The 14,226-nt window shown below is 38.2% G+C and overlaps 1 long non-coding RNA gene across 1 annotated transcript in view; it reads left to right on the top strand.

The window, feature by feature from the left end:
* The window catches only part of LINC00466 (long intergenic non-protein coding RNA 466), a 158,175-nt gene extending 144,240 nt beyond the window's left edge, over window positions 1–13,935 (top strand). Inside the window, exons 7-12 of the long non-coding RNA NR_038252.3 lie at window positions 2,594–2,866; window positions 8,663–8,774; window positions 10,336–10,471; window positions 11,453–11,614; window positions 12,756–12,857; window positions 13,748–13,935. This is a non-coding gene — a long non-coding RNA (long intergenic non-protein coding RNA 466). The remainder of the gene's footprint in view (window positions 1–2,593; window positions 2,867–8,662; window positions 8,775–10,335; window positions 10,472–11,452; window positions 11,615–12,755; window positions 12,858–13,747) is intronic.
* The last annotated feature ends 291 nt before the right edge of the window (window positions 13,936–14,226 follow it).

Below are 14,226 nucleotides of genomic sequence, written 5' to 3'. Positions count from 1 at the left end.
TCAAGTTGGTAGGGGTACAGAGATAATAATAAAATATAAACAATAAGTAAATGAATTATATACTGTGTTAAAAGGTGATAAGTGTATAAAAGAAAAAGTAAGCAGCCTGCGGGGGTTGGGGGAGTTTGATTTCAATCTTAAATTGACTGGTCATTAGAATTAGATCTATTTATGTCAATATGACTTTCACAAAGCAGCTCCATGTCATTATTTTCATTTTATATGTTAGAAAATAGAACTTCTCAGATTTATCTTTTGTTTCTCTACTTTCTTTTCTTGTCCCTTCTCCATTTTCCTTTTTTCTTTCTTTTCCCTTTCTTCCTTTTTTCTTTTTTCTATTTTCCATTGTCTTGAAAAAAAAATTAGATGCCATAGTGCCTCTCAGGAAATTTACAATCCAATCAAGGAATAAAAAAGGCCCAAATTAAACAATTTGAGAGCAATATGCCAATGATAGTTTGAATAAACTTTTCTAATTATTTTTTTGTCCACACACTTACAATGTTCTTTAAAACGAGTGGAATAACTGGATGATCAAAACAGAGGGGGATTATTTAAGGAACATTGCAGAGGTGGCAGGTGCATTTTGATCTGATTGAAGGAACAAATGGGAGAAAGAAGGAATTACATAAGTAAGTACTTGGAGGCAGGCTTTTTTAGCAAGATATATTCAAAGATTTGAAGTGAGATTGGCTTGGATGGAGTGGACATATTTCACTGGATGAATGACATTGAAGGAATAACGAAGTTGAGAAGTTTAAATTAAGTGTAAATTAAGGATGTGGAATGCTGGTCTGAGGGGCTTAGGTTTTTTTCAATACGTTATTGAAAGAGCTGAGACTAGAACTTGGAACTCTCTGAATCTTAGTTAAGCCACTGAACCATGTTGAGTAAAAATCACCTTTCCAATCTTACTAAAATTCAGAAATTACTTGCTGTTCCCAGACTCCTGATTTAGTACATACATTAGGTTATAGGAGATATTCTGAGAGGCAGGGGAGAGTGAGAGACTACATCTTCGGGACCATCCAGTTCCACTTCATCTCCCTCTTATTTGTAATCTTGCTCTGTTGCCTGTTGACTTCTTCTCTCTCTTTGGTAGTGTTCTTCTCAATTGGATGTTTCCTTTATATTCAACAGACTGTACTATCTTTGAAGTTAAGAAGAAAGTTCAAAATAGAGACATGAATTTCGAAGAACTGAAGCAGGGAATTTAGAATGAAGTGTCCTTAACCTCCACCTAAAAGTCCCTTTTAGCTAGGCAGTAGCAGAGTTCTTTATTCTTCAAGCCTTACTTATTTTTTGCTTTATGTCTCTGCCCATTCATTTCCTGCAGCTTCTGAGTTAACTTTCTATGGACCATCTGAACTGTTTACATACATCCCATCCTCGAGCACTTTTCCTGTGCAGCTTCCCAAGGGGGAAATTTTTTCTCCCTGGCTACATGATCCAGGTTTATTTCTTTCTAGATACATCTTAAAATATCTTATTTGTGGGCATTCTAGGTTTATTTATTTATTTATTTTGAGACAGAGTCTCGCTCTGTCGTCCAGGCTGGAGTGCAGTGGTGCCATCTCGGCTTAATGCAACCTCTGCCTCCCGGGCTCAAGGGATTCTCTTGCTTCAGCCTCCCGAGTAGCTGGGATTACATGTGCCTGCCACCATCCCTGGCTAGTTTTTGTATTTCTAGTGGAGATGGGGTTTTGCCATCTTGGCCAGGCTAGTCTCAAACTCCTGACCTCAGATGATCCCCCCACCTCAGCATCCCAAAGTGCTGGGATTACAGGCGTGAGCCACCGCTCCCGGCCACATTCTAAGTTTCTATGTCTTTCTTGTTTTCAGGACTGTTTCTGCCATGCGTGTTACTCATTGCCATGGTGCTTATGACAGTGAAGGAAAGGTAAAAGTGCTTTGGTAGATCCTTTGAATTTACTTAGTGTTTCCTTCTATATTATTTCTGATTCATAGTTTTTCTGGCTGATGATGAGATGGGACAGGAATAATGTGGATAAAAAATAATATTTATTTAAAAACTCACTTTATTTCTGTGTACATTCAAATAATATAGAATATGTACATATTAAGAAATATGTTAGAGGCTGGGCGTGGTGGCTCATGGCTGTAATCCTAGCACTTTGGGAGGCCAAAGCGGGCGGATCGCCTGAGCTCAGGAGTTTGAGACCAGCCTGGGCAACATGGTGAAACCCCATCTCTACCAAAATACAAAAAATTAGCTGAACGTGGTGGCATGCACCTGTAGCCCCAGCTACTCAGGAGGCTGCAGCCGAAGAATTGCTTGAACCCAGGAGGCAGAGGTTGCAGTGAACCGAGATCCTACCACTGGACTCCAGACTGGGCGACAGAGCAAGATTCTGTCTCAAAAAAAAAAAAAAAAAAAAAAAAAAGAAAGATAAAAAAGAAAAGAAATATGTTAGAGAAAGACGTATAATAATTTAGAAGGACATTCATTATATGATATGAGATGAAAACAGGAGGCAACAAACAGGAGGTAAAAAAAAATTCACCTATATGCCTAGAAAAAAGATAATAAAATTTCAATAAATATTATCTCTCTTTTTTCTTTTTGAAACAGAGTCTCACTTTGTCGCCCAGGCTGGAGTACAGTGGTGCGATCTTGGCTCTCTGCAACCTCTGCCTCCCAGGTTCAAGTAATTCTCCTGCCTCAGCCTCCCGAGTAGCTGGTACTACAGGCACACATTTGTAGAGATGGTGTTTCCCCATGTCATCCAGGCTGGTCTGGAACTCCTGGGATCAAGTAATCCACCCGCCTCGGCCTCCCAAAGTGCTGGGATTACAGACGTGAGCCACCACGCCCTGCCAATAAAAAGATTATCTCCAGATGCTGGAATGACCAGTAATTTATTTTCTTCCTTTTTTTTTGTCTGCACTTTCTACCATAATCATATGTTAGCTTCTTACTAAGAAGAAAAGTCAATGTTATTTCCCTGAAAAAGTAATGTTGTTTGGTTATTAAACAAATTTAATTTTCTAAACAAGAGTACGACAGGTAAACTGCCTACCTTAAAAGCAAACGAACACAAATAAATAAACTAACCATCTTCCACTTCAGTCTCTGTCCTTTCACCAGAGTTGCTGATCAGCCCAGAATGGACTGATTTGAATTTGCTTAGTTGTTCATTCATTCATTTATTTAACAAGTATTTATTAAGCACTTGCTCTGTAGAAAGCACTGTGCTGGTATTGGAATACTGGCTTATGTAAGTGTGATAGTAATGGGATTCTGACTTAGGCCTGACTCCTGGGCCGTAATGTTTGGATACTATGTATACATCTAACTATAAAACGAGGGAAAATGAAAAAAAGAGCAAAAATGATTTGAGGGGGGATGGTCTCCATTTCCTATTACCTATTTATATGTAGATCATCTTGGGTATTATAATTCCTATTTTTATTAGGAAAGCATAGTCCTCATAGCTAGTTGCAGTCACATGTTGCATAGCAACGGGAATATGTTAGGCAATTTTGTTGTGTGAACATCATAGTGTGTACTTACACAAATCTAGATGGTGTAGCCAACTACGCACCTAGGCTACATGGTATAGTCTATTGCTCCTAGGCTACAAACCTGTATAGCATGCTACTGTACTGAATACTGTATGCAGTTGTAACACAGTGGTAGGTGTTTGTGTATTTAAACATATCTTAACGTAGAAAGAAAATGTAACGTATTGTGTTATGACATGATGACAGATCACAGCTACCATGTCACTAGGTGATAGGAATTTTTCAGCTCCATTAAAATCTCATGGGACCCCTGTTTTATATGCGATCAGTCCATCATTGATTAAGCACATACTATGCTGTAGACAAGCCGTTCTCAAATTGAAGTTCATGTGTCCCCTGGGTTCCCCAAGACTTTTTCGGTAAGTCCACAATGTCAAAACAATTTTCACAATAATACTAAGACACTATTTGCATTTTTACTGTGTTAGCATTTGCTCCAATAGTGTAAAAGCAATGGTGAGCAAAACTGTTGTTGCCTTAACATGAATTGAAGCATGGCAGCAGAATCTGCCACTAATGCATTGTTGTATTTATCACTGCTGTGCACACACAGGGGGAAAAAGCCAGTTTCACTTAAGAATGCTTTGATGAAGCAGTAAAAATTATTAATTTTAATAAATATAGACCCTTGAGTCCACACTCATTGAATCTTCTATATGACACCATGGAAATATGCATAAAGCACTCTGATACACACCAAAGCATGAGGCTTGTCTTGAGGAAAAACACTCGCATGAGTGAGTAGCCACTTTTTTTCATGGAACACATTTTCACTTGAAAAGAAAAACTGACAGGCAAACTACATTTATTTAGACATGGGTATTTTTGGCTGATGTTTTCTCAAAAATGAATGAAGGGAGCCTGTCACTTTGAGGAAAAATGACTGACAATATTTGTTACCAATGATAAAATTTGAACTTTCATATGAAAATTAGAATTCTGGAGGACTTTTATACATCACCGTGAAATTGTCAGCTTCCCTAAATCTGAAGACTTTTCTGATGAGATGCGATGCTATTAATGACTGCGATTTTTTTCCATGTTGCATAATGAAACATGTCAATGTTTTGTAGATCTGCATAACCCAGTGAACCAACACTATTCGAAATGACCAATGCATGATGGTGTAAAATTGTATGTGAATGAAAGACCCACTCAAAGTGCAAGATAGCCACTGTATTTTAATACAACAGAATATGAAAAGTTGATTGATATTGTTTCAGATTCCACATCTCAACTTATCTAACTAACCAGATATTACTTGTCAGATTGATAGAGTATTCAAGAAAGATATCCACAGTTATCTGAAAAGACTTAAAATACTCCTCTCTTTTTCAACTACATGTCTATGTGAGGCTCAATTTTCTTCTGATTCTTAAATAAAAACAACATACTGCAATAGATATTAAAGCCAGACAGACACTAAGGAGACATACAAATATGGAAAACAAAGTCAGTCCTCTTGCCTTTTTTAAAAGATATAGTTTTTTCATAAAAATATTATTAATGTTAATACATAATTTGTGTAACATATAACAATATTTATTATTGTTATTTTAAAATAAATTAGTAAAGAAATATTAAAATGTGAATATTGTAAATATCTATAGCTATAACCCATGTAAAATCTCTTTGGAGTTCTTAAAATTTTTAAGAGAATAAAAGGGTTCTGAAACTAAAAAAGTTTGAGATTTGCTATTCTAGATGTCCTAGTAATCATTTGATGTGTATAATCTTGCTTCATCCCCACAACCACTCTAAGTATTATATCTACTACTATTATTTTTATTTTACAATTGAGGAAAATGAGTTTGAGAAAGTTAAAAACTTGTCCAAGATCATATAACTAGTAAAAGAGAGCTACAAACTCAGGAAGTAAGTGTAATCAACAATTTCTTTGGAATGATAGAGAGGGAGAAAAATATTTCACAAAGAAGGCAAAATTGTACAAGCTGTGAAGCGGGAATCAATAGGAAAAGGAGGGTAGGGCATTTGGGGCAGAGGGATAGCATGAATCAAAGCTTTGTGAGTGAATGGTTAGGTCAGGGGTTCCTAACCTTTTTTGTGCCAGAACCCCTTCGGCCATCTAGTGAAGCCCACTGAACCTTTCTCAAAATAATGTTTTTAAATGAATAAAATGAAATACATAAGACTATGAAGGGAACCAGTTATATATTCTATATATGGCTATCAAAAGATAAAAATCTCAAAGATATGATATAGTAATATATATCCTTCATTATTAATGCATTAAATAACAAGATCTAGTGGTGAGAAGTATTGATGAACATAAGTGCTATTTCTGTAACAATTAATTATAAAGTGAGATGAAAATATCTGTGATTTCTAAGAGTGACAGAGTCATAGATACTGTTCATGTTACAGTGATTACATTAGCAGATAGTAAAACTAAAGAAGTAAACTTGCCCCATTCAAGTTCACATATTCAAGGGTCTTTGGATGCCAAGTTAAGAACCCTTAGGTTTAGGGTAAGGCTCATGTTCTTTTATTTATGTTGCCAATCCTCTGGTAAAGGAAGTGCTAGTGAACAAAGATAGAATAGTAGCAGCAGCAGTAATAGTAATAGTAGTAATAAGAGTAGAAACAGTAAAAGAAGTAGCAGACGCCACAGTAGTAGTAGTAGTCATATTCATAGTCATAGCAGCAGTAGTGATGGTAGTAATAGGTACTGAGTACTTACTACCTGCCAAGAACTCTTCTAAGTGCTTTACAAATAAAGGGCAGAAGTGAGGCAAGCTCTCTATAAAGAGGAAAGAAGGGCCGGGTGCAGTGGCTCACGCCTGTAATCCCAGCACTTTGGGAGGCCGAGATGGGTGGATCATTTGAGGTCAGTAGTTTGAGACCATCCTGGCCAATATGGTGAAACCCCATCTCTACTAAAAATACAAAAGTTAGCTGGGTGTCGTGGTGTACACCTGTAATCCCAGCTATTTGGGAGGCTGAGGCAGGAGAATCGCTTGAACCCGGGAGGCGCAGTTTGCGGTGAGCCAAGTTCATGCCACTGCACTGCAGTCTGAGCAACAGAGTGAGACCCTGTCTCAAAGAAAAAAAACAAAAAACAAAAAAAAAGGAAAGAAATCCGAATAATCCACAGACTAAGTAGATAACCCAAATAACTAAAAATTCATCATGTTTTTAATGTATTAAGTATTTTTAACTTTCTGGAAAAAGAAATAGAAGAGTTTGACTCTGTTTGAGTTTGGAAATGATTACAATCGGGTCTAAAATTCTAGAATTTTTTGAAAGTCATAGGTGTTGAAATGCTGAATTACAGCTTTGTAGCTCATGTGAATATGTATGTTTTTAATAGTATTCATAAGAATATAGGATATAGTATAGCACAGCTTAAGTATTCTATAGCCTGCATGAAAAATGTATAAAATTATAAATTTTGGGGGAAAGTTATTAATCTGGTTAAAGTGAATTTTACAGTATTTTTGTACTTTGAGAACCCGAACTTTTTATTATATTCTTTTTTCATTTTAGCTCCAACTAATCATTTTCTCAGAATTAAAGAGATGCTTTCTCAGTACCATCAGTTTAGCATTAAAATATTCTGAGCCCTCCCATGTATCTTTTCCTTCCACAACTGTATCATAAGTTCTTTGAGGACAAAGAGATCTGTCATATATTTTGCATTTGTCACAGCACCTGGGATTGTGGGCACTTCAGTTGGTAGATGAATTACTTGTAAAATAGTTTGAAAGGCTGGGCACATTGGCTCATGCCTGTAATCCCAGCACTTTGGGAGGCTGAGCTGGGCAGATCACCTGAGGTCAGGAGTTCGAGACCAGCCTGGCCAATATGGCGAAACCCCAGCTCTACTAAAAATACAAAACTTAGCCAGGCATGGTGGTGCATGCCTGTAATCCTAGCTACTCAGGAGGCTGTGACAGGAGAATCACTTGAACCCAGGAGACAGAGGTCGCAATGAGCCAAGATTGTGCCACTGCACTCTAGCCTGGGCAACAGAGCGAGACTCCATCTCAAAAATAAATAAATTAATTAATTAAATAAAATAGTTTGAAAAAGTCCATTTTCAATCAAGACTCCATGTTCAATATTATTCTAAGTATCTAGACAATTCTATGCCTTCCACATCAATGTCATGAGATTTGCTGCTTTTGTATCTGTTTATATGGTGATCTGGAACTATTTCTGCTCTCATATATTGAAAATTGTTTAAGACACATGCATTATTTTCCTCTAATTGAAGGCACAAGCAGAAATGATTAAAGAGTAAATATTTGCGGTGAGCCCAGGTCTGAATGGCGTACAGTTTCTTTGGTATGCAGATTCTTTTGCAGTTCAGTATCCTTCAGTCAGTAAACTTGTACTGAATGCCTCCTGTGGTCTAGGACAGATCAATTCAGGTACAGAGAGACAAAGCAACGTTAGTGAACCTGAGAGAAGGCATAGCGAGGGTGGGGCTCCACATGTTGTTTGCTTTTGCTGAATTTTAGTGTGCACTGAGTGACAGGTAAAGAGCTGGAGAGGTAGGAAAGAGACAGAGATGATGGGGCTGTGAGAAATGGAGAAGATGCCTCCCTGGAGGCCCTTAGACACTGAGTGGGTATTTTTGGGGGGTAAGTGGGCATAAGGGAAGAGAGAGACTTAAGGAACTGCTATCCTTGGAAATTCTGCCTAATGGCCTGATAATCAAAACATTTATCCAACTCACTATGGGCTCCAAAAGAGATTTTGTATAAAGAGACAAGAAATTTATCTTCTGATTTGATTATCTATAAAATAAAATAAGAGTGGATGTTCATATATTTCTGCTTGGTATAGAGACAGCTCCTATAGAGAATAAACTTAATGAAAAAGAATGCTTTTTTGTAAAAGAAATCATCTTTTACTTTTATTGTCTAAGTAATAACAGGTAGTATTTTTTGAGCATCTACTATGTGCCACCATTGATGTTAAGGGCTTTAAAATATTATTGTCACTATAATTATGATTATTAGCAACTAATGTTTATTCAATATTTACTATGTGCCAGGATCTGTTCTAAGAGTTTCATATGTTTTAACTCATCTAATTTTAACAATCTTATGAGGTATGCACTTTATTTTCCTTGTTTTCAAATGTTGAGACTAAGGTACAGAGAGGTCAAGTAACTTGCCCAAAGTCACACAACTATCAAGGAGCAGAGCTGAGGTTTGATGTCACAGAGGGGTCAAGATACAGTCATATTTATTAAACAGGTAAGGTTGGCCGGGCACGGTGGCTTATACTGGTAATCCCAGCACTGATCACCTGAGGTCAGGAGTTTGAGATCAGCCTGGCCAACATGGTGAAACTCCATCTTTACTAAAAATACAAAAATTAGTTGGGTGCGGTGGCGGGTGTCTGTAATCCCAGCTATTCGGGAGGCTGAGGTGGGAGAATCGCTTGAACCTGGGAGGCGGAGGTTCCAGTGCGCTGAGATCACACCACTGCACTCCAGCCTGGGTGACAGAGCAAGACTCCGTCTCAACAAAAACAACAACAAAAAGATAATGTTATATAACATGTCTACTAAGTGCCTATCACATAATAGATATCCCTAAATTTTTTAATTTTTGTCTCCTCCATCTTCCTTCTTGTCCCCTCCTCAACTTACTAAAAGAATGACTTTAATTTACAGGAAGAGCCCACACAAATACTCACACTGCTTTTTGTTTTTCTCATCATCATTCTTAGGCTTTTTGGTAAAGGTGCTTATATGATGTGAAACACAACGAAAGAAAAAAAATTCCTTTTCTGAAAAAAAGCAAATGCTTCATTTATTTACCTTAAACAATTTAGTGGCTAACAAATGTAGCTTTTTTTTTTTTTTTTTTGAGACGGAGTTTTGCTCTTCTTGCCAAAAATGTAGGTTTAAAACAGTATATTGGAAGTCCTAGAAGATGAGGGAAGGAGGGCAAGGAACAAACATTGATTGAAAACCTCTTAGCTCCTACGTAGAGTGCTAGAAACTTTATGTATGATTGCTTATTTATTGTTCACAACAACCCCTGTAAGGTATTGCTTATCAGCCCTATTTTGTGGATAGAATGTCCAAGGCTAAGAGAATTCAGACAGCTTCTTTGTTAGGAAGGGATGGAGCCCAGAATTCTCTGATGTCTATAGTGCTGTTGCCTCCCTCTCAGACCCAGGAACCATGTCTTTAGAATATTGATCGCAGGAAGTTTCCAGCTTGGGAATTCCAACAAGAAAGAGATGATGCTAAAGGATTTACTAATGCCGAATTTTACTGGCAAAAAATTACTCTTTTATTACAAACAAATTCCTGAACAACACAGCTGTTTCCGCTTTTGAATCCTTGTTGGCTATGTTAAGCAGCATTTGGCTGAATGCTAATCCTTAGATTAAGCATCTCTTAATCAATTTGTCCATCATTACTTTGAGCTTACAAACTGTTGTTCCATGAATAGTGGTTGTCTTTAAGAGGCAGTAAGAAAAGTATCAGCGTCATTATTTGCTGTTTCATACCCCTGTGACAGTACTCACAGTCTGTGATGGGTGACAGAGGAAGCGGGGCAAAGGGGAATGGTTATGATTTCATTTCCACAGGCAGGTGACTGGTGGGCATATAGTAATATTGCTAAGGGCCTGTGCTTTGGCTTAAGGTTAGTTTCTGTTTTCATGCTTGCTTCTCCGACTTGACTCCCTGTTTGAGGCGAAGGAAAAACATTCATGTCATCTGCATCATCTGCATCCTGTTGGCATAACATTGTGCATTGAAGGATTAATCAACATAACAGTTTTTTTCATTTTTTTCAGCCTACTTCATGCTTTGAACAGAAGAGTTTTATCAGTTTTAAATGTTTCTTCATTTCTATACCTTCTTTTATCTGAGGAGCTTAAGCCATTTTGTAGAGGCATTAAGTATTGCCTCAGTCTTAATATGTGAGACAAGGTAAGTAATTCTTTTATTTTATTATACTTTAAGTTTTAGGGTACATGTGCACAATGTGCAGGTTAGTTACATATGTATACATGTGCCATGTTGGTGTGCTGCACCCAGTAACTCATCATTTAGCATTAGGTATATCTCCTAATGCTATCCCTCCCCCCTCCCCCCACCCCACAACAGGCCCCGGTGTGATGTTCCCCTTCCTGTGTCCATGTGTTCTCATTGTTCAATTCCCACCTATGAGTGAGAACATGCGGTGTTTGGTTTTTTGTCCTTCTTGCAGCTCTTGCCAATAGCACGTGAACCCAGTGATGGGGAACTGTGTTTGTGTCCTTCCATACAGGGTGCTTGGTAAATACCTATAGTTGAGCCTTTATTATTATTATTATTATACTTTAAGTTTTAGGGTACATGTGCACAACATGCAGGTTTGTTACATATGTATACCAACATGGCACATGTATACATATGTAGAGCCTTTTCTTCCCACTTTAACTGAGGGTAGGAAATCAGATCTCATGTTGGCCATAGCCAAGGCTCGTTTTCTCCAGATTCATCCCTACCCTTCTTCCCTTTCCCAGCACCTCTGGTAGTTCAAAAAGGAGCAGAGTAAAGAGAGTCAGTCCTAAACCCAGTTCCTATGGACTGCTAATTCTAACATTTGTGACATTTTGGGCTCAGCTTTCTAATTTGTAATCATGGTCTACAATTTCAATCCCATCTGTCTGATAGTCCCTGTCTTCCTCCTATTTCTCCTGCTCAGCTTTGCTGTGTTACCCACCCATGCCCCAGGATGCCAGGGAATCTGAAAGCAGTTTTTTTCTGTTGATTTTATGGGTGTGGATACTGAAATCTATGCAGCTTGAGAAAGATGCAGGTTGATCCCATGCTCAAAGAACTGCTATGGAGTATCCTCTTTGACGGTCTCAGGGCAATTCATTCACATAGCAATAATTATATGCCTCTTTGTCTGGCATTTTCTAGGTGTGAGGAATATAGAGATTCATAAAATAATCCCCATCTTCAAGGAACTCACAGTCAGGAAGAACAGAGCCTGCAACACAAATAATTGCAATATAGTAGAAGTGCCAATAGGAGCTCTATGAAGGGCGTGAAACAGGAAAGGCTACATAGAGGAGATGGCAGGTGAGGAATAAGGAGTTACTATTCTACTGGGGCATCATTTCAGTGTATGCGTGGGCATACCTGTGGCATTATTGCCCAGCCCCAATCTGTCTCCCCACAACCTGTGGGAACTTTGAAGGCTAACCAGTGTGTTTTATTTTGATGTTTGGTAGGCTGCTTTGATGATGTAGTTTATGACAGAAATGTAAGCAACAGTTTCTAATGGACATCTATTGCCTTTTCCTTATCCAGCCTCTCTTTATCCCAGACTCCTCCCCTGCAATCTCCCTCTTAGAGACCGCCTCTCTGCCCTCTCAACCCAGAGCTAGGCATGTGACTAAAGCTTGGCTAATCAAAGCATCCAGTGCCTTTGACCACAGTAAGAGCTGGAAGACTGAGCACATGGCCTCTTCAGAGCCACAGAGATGGAAGAGAATTTTTTGCTGAAACTTCTGGGAAAGAAATTAACTTTCCTGCTGGACTTTATTCATGGGAATATGCTTCAGCCATATTCCAAGGGAGATCAGGACAAACATGGTGGGCAATAATGCTAAGAGAGATTGGTCTTTCCTGGTGTCATTAATTTGGCCCCAGATCAAGCTGTGCCAGCAGCTAGGACAATCCTTGGCTTTTTCTACTATATAAGCTGATGAAGCCCCTTTTTGCTTAGGCCAGTTTGGATTGGCTTTTGAGTTTTTACTCACCCGTGGTTAATAGATCTAGAAATGTTTATGCTGAAGGGGAAAACAGCCAAGAGAAACACTAATGCATTCCAAATATTTCAAGGATATTAGGTAGAAAAAATATTAGAATATTCTGTGTGTCCCAATTGGTAGAACCAGAATTAGTGGGTAGAAGTTTCAGGTGGTCAGATTTCAGGTCAAAGTAAGAAACAGCTTTTTAACTCTTAGGGTTCTTTCCCAACGATTCAATGTGAAGAAATGAACACTTTTCTAAGTTTCTTCTAAAACAAGGAGAGTGGAAGGAACATAGCAGCTGCCCCCATGTTAAAAGCACCTCGAAATGATCCAAGGCAATTTAAAAAAAGTTGTCTGATTACCTTTACTAATGCATTGAGATTTAAATACCAGGGCTTTCATTTAGCTTTCCGTTCCTCTGTGTCGAAGAGGATGTGGTTACTTACTTACTCTTATTTCTCTAGACACTCTGTGGATTGTGACCTGTTGGTGGGCCATGAAATCAATTTGGGGGTTTGAGAGCATCATTCTTTTAATAAAACAGAAGAGAATCATCTGCAATAAGGGTAAGAATTGTTTTGTGAAACTTTTAATTCCATTTTATGAATAAAACACACATATGGAGAGGTAGTATAGAGTCATGTTTAAAGGCATGAACTTTGGAATTGTACTACTACAGTTCAAATTCTAGGTCTTCTATTTATTAACTGTTTAGAGAATGAAATGAGAGATACAGGCAAAGAATCGAGCAAGAGCCTGGTACTTAGTAAGCACTCAATAAACGTTAGCTACTCTGTTATTAGCATTATTACCAAATGGATAACTCTTAGGATCCAGAGATTGACTCCTATGGGATAGAGGTGAAAGTCTATCTCTGCTTTCCAAGTCCCCAGATTCTGCCAAACAAACTGAAACTTTCTTTATGATTTTGTTAGTGAGAAAAAATTACCAGATGTTTCCTACATCCACTGGTGGTGCCAGAGGTGCTACGTTGCCAATTACCATCAAAGCCAGTAGCAGGACCATGAAAATAACCAGTCATTAGCTTATAAACTTTCGCATTAGACAGAGGGCATGTTTATTCGTCTTTATATCCTAGTGTTTCCCTGAGTGCCTGGAAAATAACTGCTCAATGTTATTAAACAGCCCTTAAATTTGGCCTCATATCTTTTGATGCTCTTTCTGCTACCTAAAATTCCTCTGTCCTTTGTTTCATTAAGGAGTCTTTCTTGTTTTTGTTTTTTTAAAAAAAAGGAAGAAAATCAGCCCTGCTCCCCACCCCAGCCCCTCCAAAGGCTCCAGAATACTCAAGGATCATGTGTGCACACACGCATTCCACACACATATTTGATACCATATTAATGACTTTGCAATCTTCAGGGATATTGGCTGTTTTTAAGCATCTCTTACATATCCTTGTCACTGAACTTGTGATTTCCCACTTTATCTCATTCAGAACCCATGGATGAATACCATCTGGTCCTGGTGATTTACTGCACAGAGTCCCTCAAGTTGCTCCATACCTTTCTCCTGAGAGACTGAAGAATCTCTGTCAAGGCCGTTCTCTGCTTTGCCATAAAATGTGTCCTTGGAACAAGAATTTCCCCATTGTCTTCTTCAATAAATACTGATTCAAAGTATTCATTTAGCTGTTCCTCTCCTTCATCATTCCATTTAACATTCTCTTTCTCCTAATGAAAGTCCCGAACATAACAGACATAGTCACCTTACTAAAATGCCAGGGATGCTTTATTACTATTATTATTTATCTTGATGTTTCTACATGTTTTTCATATTATCTCTTTGACCTCTAACAGTTCTCAGCTGATACAGCTTGAGCTCCCATCAGAGTGTGTGGCCTATAAAGAATGTGTGCTTTTCAGTAGAGTGGCTTTAAAATAGTTATTGTTGCCAGGCGCGGTGGCTCACGCATGT

This window comes from Homo sapiens, chromosome 1 (assembly GCF_000001405.40).
Source record: "Homo sapiens chromosome 1, GRCh38.p14 Primary Assembly".
Taxonomy (NCBI): domain Eukaryota; kingdom Metazoa; phylum Chordata; class Mammalia; order Primates; family Hominidae; genus Homo; species Homo sapiens.
This window is presented reverse-complemented; position numbering and strand designations above follow the sequence as displayed.